The sequence below is a fragment of the Homo sapiens genome, chromosome 15 (genome assembly GCF_000001405.40).
Source record: "Homo sapiens chromosome 15, GRCh38.p14 Primary Assembly".
NCBI classification, from domain to species: Eukaryota; Metazoa; Chordata; class Mammalia; order Primates; family Hominidae; genus Homo; species Homo sapiens.
In genome coordinates this window covers 72567476-72582946 of record NC_000015.10, presented here as the reverse complement: position 1 = coordinate 72582946, position 15471 = coordinate 72567476, and the positions used below count along the sequence as shown (strand labels likewise).

At 38.2% G+C, this 15471-nt stretch overlaps 1 protein-coding gene across 1 annotated transcript in view; it reads right to left on the bottom strand.

Annotated features, from left to right (window-relative positions):
* Nucleotides 1-15471, bottom strand: part of ARIH1 (ariadne RBR E3 ubiquitin protein ligase 1) — a 128658-nt gene that overhangs the window by 20041 nt on the left and 93146 nt on the right. Inside the window, exons 10-13 of the mRNA NM_005744.5 lie at nucleotides 12640-12770; nucleotides 10782-10839; nucleotides 1956-2216; nucleotides 760-872 (exon numbers count right to left, since the gene is read on the bottom strand). Coding sequence (NP_005735.2) covers nucleotides 760-872; nucleotides 1956-2216; nucleotides 10782-10839; nucleotides 12640-12770 — 563 coding nt within the window. The remainder of the gene's footprint in view (nucleotides 1-759; nucleotides 873-1955; nucleotides 2217-10781; nucleotides 10840-12639; nucleotides 12771-15471) is intronic.

Sequence of the window (15471 nt, the reverse complement as noted above, 5' to 3'; positions counted from 1 at the left end):
CTTAGAAATCATAATTCAATCCCACAGTTCTGCAGATAAACAGGTTCAGAAATAATTTCATGGGTTCTTTATTCACGTCCTTAAAATCTCTGTCAACTGTAAAAGTACTGTAAACAAAATATGGTAGCTAAAATTGGCTAAGGGAAGGGAAGATATTGGTTAGGACTAAATCTCCAAGTCTTCCAAACTCCCCAAGTTTCCTACAACTTTCAAAAGACACTAGCATTTGTCACTTTGGGAGAAAGAGCTTCATGTTGAGAAATAAAACATTTTGCATCTCTAGCTTAAGAGGCGGCACATCTTGAAAAATCGACTCCTAGGACAAGTATCTCCTTAGATTAAAAAAATATATATATATATATGTAATAAAAACTCTAAAAAGTAAGTTTCCATAGCTCATTTGTGAATAGCCATGACCCATACATAGGATTCTCAGGCTAAGACCAACATTCAATTCTCACTCTCATCCTAAAGGCCACTTGGCCTTTTTGGATTCTTTCTTCCTTGCAAGGTAGCAACTAAATAACTGAACAGAAGTGGAATTAGCCAATAGAATAAATGGCTGAATTCCTTCTCTATGTATGCTTCACCAATACTATTACCTGCAATTTAGTGCCCAACGGACAGAAGCAATCTGTGAGAAACATGGCAAAAGCTCAGTTGCTGGATATGCTAAACCCAGTTTCACTATCACTGAACTTTACCAGTAAGGATCATCACTGGCAGAAAGTTTTATTCAACAGCTTAAAAAAAAATTACCTGTACTTGTCTTGTACTTTCTGCTTTATATCCTGCAGAGAATCTTGGGAAATATCTCGTTCAAGGTAGCCCGAGAGCACCTCTGTGGCATTCTCTAGATCTGCTTGGTTATTCTGTAAGAAGAATGAAAGTAAATTTTGGCTTCAAAATAAAGCTAAAAGATAAACCATTTTCACTGTTTTGTTGACTACAGACTGCTCTCAACACTCATTCTGTAACTTTCATAGGTGGTTTAACTGCACCTGTAAAGCTCTATGGGCTTTCATCTCTAATAACTTGTTTGTTCTTTTCCAGAACAATTTTTTAAATGTTAAAAGAACGAAAGATTTCACCCATTACTTTTGGAAGAATACTGAAGACCATTTGAAAGGATTTAAAATGTCTTTTGGAATCTTCTCGTTCTGAGAGCTGCTCTTTGCTGAAAACTCAAAGGTAAATGAGAAAAAATAGAAACCTATTATTGCTTACATCTGGCTATACTTATTTCTTATAAGAAAACACTGTATGGAAGATTCAAATTGTATCATCCTTTACCACTATGGCTAGTTTTGTACCTGTTACCCAACTGAAGTCCCATCTGCTAGTCAGTCTTATTGTCTAGTCATATACAGATATCAATGTTTTATGCATCAATTTTAAATGAACATCTTTACTTGAGAAAACCTTTACTGCTAAAAGCTGGCTTTTTAGTCATTATTTCTCCACTAAAGATAACCACCACATTAACTTCTAATATTGCAGGGTTAGTTTAGCCTGAATAAAGGCTTTTATTGAGAACTTATGATGTTCCAGGTGCCGTATAGCAATTAACACAAATTGTCTCACATAAAACACAAATTGTCTCACTTAAACCTCATAACAACCTAGAAAGGTACTATCCTCACTTTAAAATGGACAAATAAGAGGTTAAGGAATTTGCTCCAAATCAACAGAGCTAAAACATAATGAAGTAAAGATTAAAATCTAGGGCTGACTCCAGAACCTGCATACCTAATCACTAGCTGGCTAAACCACATCGATCTGAATATAATTTAGGACAAGAAATAGAAATTTCTTGTATCTTTGTAATAAATACATTCGTCTACCTACATGTTCTGAACAAACAAGAACCCTGAAAACTCTGTATCTTATATATGAAAGATCAGGTAGACCTATGATACAAGGTGGGCTTTTTCCTCACCCAGAACTACTCCTACCTCAAAGATAATGGACTGGTTATTCTTTTTGAGGTAGAAAGCGAAGACATAAGTGTACATGAGTGTGGCACGACACTGGCAGAGGACATCAACTGCCTTCTTCAGGAACTGCACCTCAATCCAGGACATGTTGTGCTGCTGCATCTCCTCCATTTTCTGTTTCACCTGAGCATATAGTTTGTGCTCAAAGCGCAGGCTCTGCATGTGGTTCATATAGCGATTACAGTAGAACAGGTACCTCTGCAGGGCTGCCCTAGATCGCTGTCCCATTAAGAAAAATTGGGTGATATAATTATAACACATAAACTGTACATAAAAGCTGATTATCAAATTAAAACCATAATGAAGTCTCACTTCACACCTGTTAGAATGGTTTTTATCAAAAAGATGAAAGATAAGTCTTGGCAAAGATAAAGAAAGAAGGAGACTCTTGATACACTGTTGATGGGAATGTAAATTAGTATAGCCATTATGGAAAATGGTATGGGGAGGTTCCTTAAAAAACTGAAAACAAAACCACCACAGAATCCAGCAATCCCACTACTGTGTATATATGAAAAGGAATTGAAATCAGTATGTCAAAGGTATCTCTGTACTCTCACATTCACTACAGCATTATTCACAATAGCCAAGACATGGAATCCATGTAAAGTGTCCATCAATGGATGAACACAGAAAGAAAACGTCATGTATGTACACACACACACGAGTACTCAGCCTCAAAAAAGGAATTCTGTTGTGACAACATGGATGAACCTGGAGGACATTACACTAAGTGAAATAAGCCAGGCACAGAAAAGAAATACTACATGATCTCGCTTATATGTAGAAACTAAAAAAGTTGAACTCACAGACATACAGAGTATAATGACGGTTACCAGAGGCTTGCGGGGATAGAGGGGTAGGAAGGGAGGGAATGGGGAGTTGGTGACCAAAGAGTACAAAGTTTCAGATAGACTGGATGAGTAAGTTTTGAGATTTATTGCACAACAGGGTGAATATAGTCAATAATAATATATATTTCAAAATAAGTATCATTTCAAATGTCTCACCATAAAAATGTTAAGGCAAGGCAATACAACAATTAGTTTGATTTAATCATTGCATTGTTTACATATTTCAAAACATTCCACTGTACTCCATAAATGTGTATAATTATGATTTGTCCATTAAAAATATTAATAATTTAAAAAGCTGATTTACTGATGAAACAGTACTGTGATCTAGGCTAAAATCAGGAATAGACATCTACTGCTACTTTTGTTATTTAATACTCTTGAAAAATGTCCTATTAATTGTACTTTCCAATACAGTAGCCACAAGCCACACCTGACTACTTAAAATTCAATTTAAGAAACTAAAAATTCAGTTCCTCATCGCTCAATAGTCACATGTGCTTAGTGACTACCAAATTAGACACTGGTGATAAAGAACATTTACATCATTACAAAAATGTTCTACTGGATGGCACTGTTCTACAGTATGCCACAAGATGTAAAACAAGCAAAAAGCAGAGATATTTTTAAGTAGAAAACTACAGTGGCAACTACATACCATGTAACTCCTGATATAATACAATAGAAAGTATAATCAATTAAGTATTCTGGGCTCCCCCCCCAACCACTGAATCTGAATTTGATCAAGTTTCTTGAATTAATCACCAGTGCAGAAAATGCAGGGATAGAAGAACCTATTAAATGACACCATGCAGTTGCAACCAGCAAAATCCATAATGTGGGAAACTCTACAGGACAACACGATCTAGTTTCTTCAACAAAGAAAAAAAAGCAAGGAGGGGGGAAGAGAAGGAACAACAGGTAGAGGAGACTCAAGAGATATCAATTAAATCCAATTTGTGGACCTATGTGGATCCCAATTTGAACCAACTATAAAAGAAAATTTAAGATAGGCTGGGTGTGGTGGCTCATGCCTGTAATCCTAGCACTTTGGGAGGCTGAGGCGGGTGGATTGCCTGAGCTCAGGAGTTTGAGCCAGCCTGGGCAACACAGTGAAACCCTGTATCTACTAAAATACAAAAAATTAGCTGGGCGTGGTGGCATGTGCCTGTAATCCCATCTACTTGGGAGGCTGAGGCAGGAGAATTGCCGAGTTGCACCACTGCACTCCAGCCTTGGGGAGAGAACGAGACTCTACCTCTGAAAAAAAAAAACAAAACACCAAAAAACAAAAAAAAGCAAAATTTAAGATAATTGGGGATATTTGAACAATAGATAGTTGATACCAACAGAGTATTGCTTTAAAACATATACAGTTGACCCTTGAACAACACAGGATTAAACTGTAAGTCTACTTTATATGTGGATTTTTTTCAATAAATATATTGAAATATTTTTTGGAGGTTTGCCAACAATTTGAAAACACTTGCGGACAAACCAAAATTAAGAAAAAGAGTTGTCATGAATGCATAAGACATATGTAGCCTATCTTATGATTTACTACGATAAAATATACATAAATCTATTAATAAAAAGTTGAGATTTATCAAAACTTATGCACACAAACTCTTACAGACCGTATATGGTACCATTCACATTGAGAGAAATGTAAACAAACGTAAAGATGCACACGGTACTCTGGAAGGGACTGTCAATGCTATCGAAGAGAACCCCCACAGAACATCATGGAAGTCTGGAAGGAGAGCACCACTGAAGATGTCATCGTTGTTATAGAAAAAACCATGGCATCATCAAGACTGAAACAATAAACTCCTGGTAGAGAAAACTGTGTCCAGATGTTGCGCGTGACTTCGCAGTATCTACAACAGAGCCCATCAAGGAAATCACGAAAGAGACTGTGGATATGGCAAAGAAAACGTGGAAGGTGAAGGGTTAGCTAACAGACACCACACCAGAGGAATTAAAAGACCACTTGATGGAGATGAGCTGCTTCCAAACCAGTGCCAGATGATGAGGAAGAAGACACTAAAGAAGCAGTGCCAGAAAATAAATTGACATTAGACAATTTGGCAGAAGGGTTCTGATTACTTAAGACTGCTTTGGACTTCCTTTATGAATGGACCCTTCTATTATACCAGCACTGAAACTAAAGCAAATGGAAAGAGGATTGTTACTATACAGAAACATTTTTAGAGAAATGAAAATGCAAAACGGTTCGTAAGGTTTTCCTGTAAAGTTACACCAAGTGTGCCTGCATCTCCTGAATCCCATTCGACTTCCTCTACCTCTGCCACCTGAGATATAGCAAAACCAAGCCCTCCTGTATTTTCTTTCCTCCTCAGCCTACTCAACTTGAAGACCTTTATGATGATCCGTTTTTTTGTTTGTTTGTTTTTTGTTTTGAGATGGAGTCTCACTCTGTCGCACAGGCTAGAGTGCAATGGTGCGATCTCGGCTCTCCACGACCTCCACCTCCAGGGTTCAAGTGATTCTCCTGCCTTATCTTCCCAAGTAGCTCGGATTACAGGCGCCTGCTACCACGCCCAGCTAATTTTTGTATTTTTAGTAGAGATAGGGTTTCACCATGTTGGCCAGGCTGGTCTCAAACTCCCAACCTCAGGCAATCTGCCCACCTCAGCTTCCCAAAGTGCTGAGATTACAGGCGTGAGCCACTGGGCCCGGCTGATCCACTTCTACTTAATAAAAAGTAAACACATTTTCTCTTCTTCACAATTTTTTAAAATAACTTTTTTCCTAGCATACTTCATTGTTAAGAACACAGTATATGCCAGGCACAGTGAGTGGCTCACGCCTGTAATCCCAGCATTATGGGAGGCTGAGGTGGGTGGATCACCTGAGGTCAGGAGTTCAAGACCAGCCTGACCAACATGATGAAATCCCGTCTCTACTAAAAATACAAAAAAATTAGCCAGGCATGGTGGCGCATGTCTGTAATCCCAACTACTTGGGAGGCTGAGGCAGGAGAATCGCTTGAATTCGGGAGGTGGAGGTTGCAGGGAGCTGAGACCTGCCACTGGCACTCCAGCCTGAGTAACAAGAGCAAACTCCGTCTCAAAAAAAGAAAAAAAAAAAAGCACACAGTATAATAAAACATGTAACATACAAAATATGTGTTAATTGACTATGTTATCGGTAAGGCTTCTGGTCATCAGTAGGCTATTAAAACAGGTAAGTTTTGGGAAAATCAAAAGTGGTATGTGGATTTTCCATTGCGGAGGTAGGGCGGGTTAGTGTCCCTAACCCCTGAATTGTTCAAGAGTCAACTGTAATGGTATTACAGTTATGTAAAGAGAGTCTGTCTTTAGAGATATGTAAAGTATATTGTTATCAAAGCAACAATGTATCTAGTTTAGATTTGTTTTGTATTATTACATTATAATATATAATTATTCATATGAGGCCTCTACCATTATACCATAAATCTCTAGAGGGAATGGACTTTTAAAAAGATAAAGTATTTCCAATACCTGATTTGCAGAAAACCATTAATAAATGCTTACTAAATGCAACCACTATCAAAGGGTTTTTTTTTTTTTTTTTTTTTTTTTGAGACAGAGTCTTGCTCTGTCACCCAGGCTGGAGTGCAGTGGCACAATCTCGGCTCACCACAAGCTCCACCTCCCGGGTTCATGCCATTCTCCTGCCTCAGCCTCTGGAGTAGGTGGGACTACAGGTGCCCGCCACCACGCCCAGCTAATTTTTTTGTATTTTTAGTAGAGATGGGGTTTCACTGTGTTAGCCAGGATGGTCTCCATCTCCTGACCTTGTGATCCGCCCGCCTCGGCCTCCCAAAGTGCTGGGATTACAGGCATGAGCCACCGCGCCCGGCCCCTATCAAAGGGGTTCCTAACACACGTATGTTCTTTTCCTTTATCCTTACCTCCTCTTTCTCTCCCCATGTTTTAAAGCCTACATAACAGATACTACTTGGCCCTATGGTTGGTCCCTTGCTTAGAAATACTAATTCTGAGCCACATAATTAGCTAACCACATGATCCAGCATTATACAACGAAACACTTCAAAAAACCAACACAAGTTGGGCGCGGTGGTGCACACCTCAAGCTGCCTCTAGTTCCAGCTAATGCAGAGGTTGAGGCAGGAGGACCACTTGGGCCCAGGAGTTCAAGGCTACAGTGAGCTATGATCATGCCACTGCGAGACCCTCATCTCAATGAAAAAACAACAAAACCACAGCCATGTTATTTCAAGAGTCAGGTAAGTATCAAACCAATGCTTATGAACAGGAAAATTATGCCAATCTGAAAATATGTGGAAAATCTGCTTGGCATTTTATCTTCCCCTAAAGTACTAATATTTCCAAGCCTGTCAAGTTCCCCAAATGAAATGAAAACCCTCCCTTACCATATTGACATGTATGATGTTATGGGACTTGACTTAATCTAAGAATTCTGAAACTGCTTCTCACTAAAATTCAACATGAAAAAAGAACACCCATACCATCACTGCTAATAAGACTTTTTTTTTTTTTTTTTTTTTTTTTGGAGACAGGGTCTTGCTCTGTTGCTTGAGCTAGAGTGCAGTGGCACAACCATGGCTCACTGAAGTCTTCCCAGGCTCAAGTGATCCTCCCACCTCAGCCAGCGTGCACTACCATACCTGGCTAATTTTTAATAAATTTTTTGTAGAGACAGGGTCTCAGTTGTTGCCCAGTCTGATCTCAAACTCCCGCACTCAATCCTCTCGCCTCAGCATCCCAAAGTGCTAGGATTGCAGGCGTGAGCCACTGAGCCTGATCAAGACAAATTCTCCAATCAAATGCCAGAATCTGGAATGAGAAATGTAATCAGCGACCTGAAAGCAGTTTGGGGAGCGTGGAAAAGACAACAAACTTGACTGCTTAGAACAGGGGTATACAAACTCTGGCCTGCATGACAAATCCAGCTGCCACCTGTCTTTGTAAATAAAACTGTTTTGCTTTCTTTGTTGTTTTTTTGTTCTGAGATAGGGTCTCTGCCATCCAGGCTAAAGAGGGGTGGCGTCATCATGGCTCACTGCAGCCTGGAACTCCTGAGCTCAAGCAATCCTCCCACCTCAGCTCCCAAATAGCTGAGACTATAGGCACACACCAACATGCATGGCTAATTTAAAAACCTTCTTTGTTTTTTTTTTGTAGAGATGGGCGGGGGCGGCGGGGGGGTCTTACTATGTTGCTCAGGCTGGTCTTGAACTCCTGGCCTCAAGTGATCCTTGGCCTTGGCCTCCCAAAGCACTAACATTACAGGTTTGAGCCATCATGCCCAGCCAGTAAATAAAATTTACTTGGAACAGTTATACCTACTCATTTAAGTCTATGGCTGCTTTTGCATTATAAGGGCAGAGGCAGAGTTGAGCCGTCACAACAGAGATTATGTAGTACGCAAAGCTAAAAATATACACCATCTGATTCTTCACAGAAAAAGTTTGCTGACCCTAGTCTAGAGGACAAGAAGATTCAAATATCCACAACTGTCGGCACTGTGGTACAATATAATGAGTCAACAATTTTCTATAACACAGGTACATCTTTTGCAGGGCAGTCAAGGTACCATCAAGGATCTTTTGAATATGTGTCAACCTTCTAGTAATTTTTCAGACTACAACTCCCAGTAAATGCTAGGCCAAGAGCTTGGGAGTGGGGAAAGATGAGGAGGCCAGATAGGCATGCAATGGTGTGATCCTTTCAGGGAGGCGTGGCTCCCAATCAATTAGTCAATCAACCAAACAACCAATGGAGTGATAGGAAATCTTTCTTTGTACTCCCACAGTTATAGAAGATTCTAGTTTAGTCCAACAGATGTGAAACAGAAAAATAATCTATTTTAGTATCTAGAATCTAAACATTAGACTCTGGCTCAAAAGCTATGCACATAACCCACCCTCCCTATAGATCTCAGAAAGGGATTCTACCGGCATCCAAATAAAGACCAGGTGAGGTCAAGGATAAACCACATATATTTTCTTTGTTGATAAACAGCATATCTGGCTAAATAAATACATCAGGTTAATGGAGAAAAAAAGGTGATAAGAACATATATCCATAATACATTCTGGGCAAATCAAGTAATGCATCATAAAAATTAATGTTGGAAATATAGAAATATATAGAAAGTTAGTGGGATATGACTTAAGGGACATCATTTAAGAAAGAAAAGAAAATTGGTGGGAGAACAAGTTATCTCATGATATTTAACAGTACAGTAATAATACATTTTTAAAACCCCAACAACAGTATCTACCAAATTAACATTTACTTGAGTTTCACTGATTTTGTGGCTCTCTTGGTTTGGCTGTAGAATTGTGCAAGAGCACAAGAATTTATAGCTGGTTTTTGTTTATACATATTTAAATAATATTATAATAAATATAATTTAAATCAATATTGGAATTTGTAGGGATTTTTTCCCCTTAAATGGACCCAAACATTGTGAAGGTCTGTGAAACATCATTTATAGTTACAAAATATAATTTCCCAGTCATTTTATTATTTATTTATTTATTTATTTAGCGACAGAGTCTCACTCTGGAGTACAGTGGTGAAATCTTGGCTCACTGCAACCTCCACCTCCTGGGTTCAAGCGATTCTCTTGCCTCAGCCTCCCGAGTAGCTGGGATTACAAGTGCAAGCCACCATGCCCAGCTAATTTTTGTATTTTTAGTAGAGACAGTGTTTCACCATAGTGGCCAGGCTGGTCTGGAACTCCCGACCTCAGGTGATCCGCCTGCCTCGGCCTCCCAAAGTGCAGGGATTACAGGTGTGAGCCACCAAGCCCGGCCGTATTTCCCAGTCTTTTTAAAAAGGGAAAGACAAAACTTTCACTTCTAGCAATATGACAGACTAGGTTACATATATACTCATTTCTATATATGATATTTTTATTAGAAATACATTTTGAAGATATGTTAACAAGTAAATAAGAAACAGATGCAAACCATATTTTAGATTGTACCCTGGCTAGGAAAATCATTTGAAAAGAATATTTCTGGGACAACTGGGGAATTTCAATATGGAATGGGTGAATGTAGGAACTATTAAATTCCAGGGTTCCACAATTACAATAAAATCACCAGACTGAAAGGAATGAAAAGTGCTTTAGAATCTAATCCACACCTAGTGTTTGGATCCCTTCTATAACAGTGGGTCATTTCCCTACCTAGCAATAGGGAATTTCTCAGTTCCTGAGACACTCCATACCAAATCAGCTCACCTATAATCATCAGCGCTTCTTGATGAACAAAAAGGTTTAAAAAAAATTTAAGTAAGTAAGATATTGCCTATAAATAGCACCAGGGCCATTTAACAAATGCTGTTCACTACTGTTCTTCTTGGGGTAGGAGGGATCTTGAAAGCAAGACTCTACCAAAAGCTAAAATGTGCTATGTAACTACATTAATGAAAAGAAAATAAACTTACTATAAGAATGTTCTTGATAAATATTTTGGATAAGATTCCCTTTCTAAATGTAAATAGATATCCAATATTTACTGGAATGTCTTTCACAAATCCTTCAGAATTGAAAAGTTCTACTCAATTATTCCCTGGGCTGGGCGTGGTGGCTCACGCCTGTAATCCCAGCACTTTGGGAGGCCGAGGCCAGTGGATCACGAGGTCAGGAGTTCGAGACTAGACTGACTACTAAAAATACAAAAATTAGCAGGGTGTGGTGGCGCGCACCTGTAATCCCAGCTACTCAGGAGGCTGAGGCAGGAGAATCACTTGAACCCAGGAGGTGGAGGTTGCAGTGAGCTGAGATCATGCCACTATACTCCAGCCTGGGCGACAAAGCGAGACACTGTCTCAAAAAAAAAAAAAAAAAATTATTCTCTAATGAATATGAATATACAACGTGCATTCTTAGTCAACTATTGTCCTGTTATACATATACTTACCTCCTGTGCATCTCTTGCTGCCTTTGCATCATCCTCATTATAGCGGTTACAGTTGTACCTTCAAGTAAATAAAGAGGATTCCATAAAGAAAAAAAAAATCAATGAAAAGGAAAAAAAAAAAATCAGAATTTTAACCTGGATTTACAGATTATCTAACACCAACGTTATCTTTTATAACAGAGAAATTGAGATGTTAAAACACCCAGGGTTCTACTGCTATAATGACAGAATTAGCAGGCTGAAAGGAACTGTTCTAACCCTATCTAGTGTTTGAATTCTCTCTATAATAAATTAGTTCTCTATCCAGTGATAGGAAATTCCCCACCTCCTGAGGCAGTCCATTTCAAATCAGCTCACCTATCATTATTAGAAAACACTGTCCTTCTAGAACCTTTATTGACTGTCTGAATTCCTAACTCAACTTTTTGAGAAAGAGATAATCTTATCTCTTAGGCCATCTGTTACTTAAGCCAAATATTTCTAATTTTCCAGGATTATTCACCTTATCTGCTCTTTTATAAACCACAGAGAACCAACAGTTGACAGCCTACCATGTAACAGATGCTGTGCTATGTGCTTTGCTATTACAGTTTTTCAGAGTCATTTAAAACTGCATGATATACAGAATGGTGGGAAGGGGAAAACATACCCAGAGAGGTCAGCTCAGAGCATAGATGAGTAAGACTTGCACTTCCCCTGGAGTGGTTACTATACATCAGTTATGGGAGCCTACATTATGGGAGCAGCTATTTCATGAGTGCTTACTATATACCATGCACTTGGCTAATGACTTTAAATGTACTAACACATTTAATCCCTTAAACATTTTATGAAATATGCATTATTTTCTTCATTGAGAAGATGAAGAATAAAATTTACAGAGGATGGGAAACATACTTAAGGTCACATAACTACAGAGTTTCAGAGCTTAAACTTTTGCCTGTCACCCAGTGGAGGCTTATGCCCTTAACCAGTGAGAAAACTGCTTCATATGCTGTGTAAGATTCTTTTTTTTTTTTTTTTTTTTTTTTTTTTTGAGACACAGTTTCACTCTTGTTGCCCAGGCTGGAGTGCAATGGGGCGATCTTGGTTCAGTGCAACCTCCACCTCCCGAGTTCAAGTGATTCTCCTGCCTCAGCCTCCCGAGTAGCTGGGATTACAGGCATGCGCCACCACGCCTGGCTAATTTTGTATTTTTAGTAGAGACGGGGTTTCTCCATGTTGGTCAGGGCTGGTCTTGAACTCCCGACCTCAGGTGATCCACCCACCTCGGCCTCCCAAATTGCCGGGATTACAGGTGTGAGCCACCGTGCCTGGCCCAAGATTCTTATATTAGTTCAAGTAAGTCATCAATAAAACAAGGAAAGCAACATATATATGCTTATTTAAAGAAAAAATATGACAAAGCCTTTTAGCAAGGCTTTAAAGCATTCCACAATGTCTAATGATATGCAGAGTAAAACCACCTGCAGGTTGGGTTTTGCCAACAGCATCTGAGTTTTCAATTTTGGCCTAGAGAGGCACATTTGATAATACAGTTATTCTCTGAAAAAGTCATGTATTTTCACAACATTCTACCTTTGCTCATGTTGCAACTTTTGCCCTAAATGTTTTTCCTACTACTTTTATAACTAATGAACTCTTGGTCCCCTTAAAGTTCATCTAAATTGTTACCTCCTTTATGAAATATATCTAACTAATCCCTCTATGTCTTGCATAGACTTATAACATTAATCACACACTATGTATTTATTTAGCTTGCAAGTTAGATGGTGATATCTATGAGGTAGAAATGTTATTCATAATACATGGCACATACTTATGTAAACACATTCTTCCCTTAATTTCCCCAACCTACCAGGCAGATCCATGTGGTTCCCATGGGCCAAGACACACCCAGCAAAACTCTGCTTTACAATTCTGGTTACGACAGACCATGTGATTACAACCACCATCCTTCTCAATTGTGACATGGCATTTGGGACATTCCTATGAAGAGAAACTATAAAGTTGGTGTCAATGCTACACTAGGTTGCATTACTAACATTAAGGAAAAGCCAGTTCTAGATTTGGTTTGTTTTTAAACATTTTATTTATTGTGGTTAATACATATAAAGCACTTAGAACAGTGTTGAACACTTAAGCACTATTTAAAATGAGCTGTTACCATTATTACCACTGGCTTTTAAGACATACAACAATTTAAGGACTTGTTTTTTTAAACTTAGAAACAGAGTCTCACTACATTGCCTAGGCTGTAGTGCAGTGGCTATTCAGAGGCCCAATCATAGGTCACTAAAGCCTTAAACTTCTGGAGTCAAGTGATCTTTCCACTTCAGCCTTCCTAGGATTTCTTTTTAAGTAGGGCTGAGAGACAAATCATTTTAAGTACTTTTAGTCATATATATAGTAATAACAGTACTATAGGAGATAAAAGCATTCTATTCATATAAATATACTATACTCTCTAGTGTCATCTAGAAATAATTGAGTACTTCCCATATCCCATGTACCGTTCTCAGTGTTTTATATGCATCAACTCATAATTCTTATAGTGGTGCTATTCCTATTTCCATTTGTCAGATGAATAAACTAAGGGAGAGAAAAATTATAAAGAAGCTAGTCCAAGGTCACATAAGTCAAGTCAGGATCCAAATCCAAGCAATCTGACTTCAGTGTCAGGTAACTAGGAAATCAGACCTTGATTGGTAAATTCATTTTGTGGCTACTGGATTTTCCAACTTTCTCCTACCAAATAACCATGTTTTAAATTCTTTTCATTGTACTCCTTAACAAGTATGCTACAGAGATCGTGTTAGATTGTTTTTTTCCAAGTCCAAATCATTTTCTTTTTCTTTTTGAGACAGGGTCTCACCGTCGACCAGGCTGGAGTGCAGCAGTGCAATCATGGCTCACTGCAGCTTTGACCTCAAGGGTTCAAGTCATCCTCCTGCCTCAGTCTCCCAAGTAGTGGGACTACAGGTGCATGCCACCATGCTCGGCTAATTTTTGAATTTTTTGTTGAGGTGGGGTTTCACCATGTTGCCCAGGTTGGTCTCAATCTCTCAAGCTCAAGCAATCTGCCTACCTCGGCCTCCCAAAGTGTTAGGATTACAGGTGTGAGCCACTGCACCTGGCCTCATATCATATTCTTGGTTGCTAGTAAGCCAAAATTACTGCTCTGTAGGCCTATGGATTTTTTGTTTTTGCATTTGTGATTGAGGTTTGTAACTCTCCCAAGGAGGGATCACCCACTATATTAGTATTTGCACAATTTGGCCTTCTTTGTGAAATTGACTATGCTGCCCATCAATGATAGCAATTTAAAATAGGCCAATATAGCAACTTTTTAATTATATATTTCAAATCAAATTTTTGAAATCACCCACATAAGAAATTTTACATTTTTTCCAAACAAGCAAATTTCAGGCATAAAATATGCGTCATTCTACATTCTACATTTCTTGGTTATAATTAACCTAATAGTATTAAACCTCCAAAATGTTAGGATATCACTGACAATATGCATATCTGTTTAGGGAGCTAATAATCTTAAAAGCTTCTAAAACCTCAAGAGAAAAACTCTTCAGTTTTCTCTCAAAAATACTGAGCAGCTAAATTTGTTTTACAAATTGCCATTCTTCCTTGGTAATCTACAATCTAAACTAAGCCAAACATATTCAAGCCTGTACTCCCTATTTTAAACATCTTTGGGGCTTACAAGTAGGAATTTCTCTAGATGTAGAAAAAAGGCTACCATTTAATTAAACAATTTAGTGAAAATATAATTGCCTTATTCTAAATATTAGTTTTTCAGAGCATATTAAAGAATTCTGGGACTTAAGGAACATTTCTTGTGGGAAAATCTTCAATTTTCAAAAAAAGAATGCTTGGCTAAGAATTTTTTTTTAATAACAAAACAAGTAACCACTTTCTGACATTACAGTATATTTATAGTAAGGTTTTCTTTGATTGACGTGAGTTATGCTTATCGTGATGGTTTTGGAGGGAACAAAAAATATTAATTTCTACCATATATTCCTTAAAGACTTGGGCATTTGTTTTATGTGGCAAGATTCACTGTTTCACTACTTTCTGGGAGACAGAAATATAAATTCATGTTTTATATATAAGTATGTAAGATGTATATTTAAACACACACAGACAACCTGCGTCGGCCTTCATTGTTTACACACTTCTTAATCTCATTGTCCTGTGATGACTGAGGCAACAGTTCAAAGATAGCTTTATATACTATGGGTCAAACAACTCAGCATTCTTTAAAGCATCATCTTTACATGTACAAAATAATACTAAAAATGAATAGCCCATGAACCAACCTACCATTCATTACCCAAGTCACTCACTATGGGGATAGGATAGGACTGAATTACATAAAGGATGGATAATACGACTTTGTATTAAAAGACTAGCTGGGTACACGGTTGGCATTCAAATGCTTGCTCATTAGATTAGTGATCGAGGAGAAGGGTACTCAAGATTTAAACACTTCTAAGACATTTGTCTGGGGTTAAGAAAGTGAATTTTGAAATTGAATTTTGAAACTAGTATCAAGAGCAATGTACTTCAAAACAAAAAATTAGAAACAAAAATGTAAATTAGCCTAACAGAACCAAGCTAGGCGGAGTAAACTCCAATGCATTTGTATACTAAATGGCAGCCAAGCACA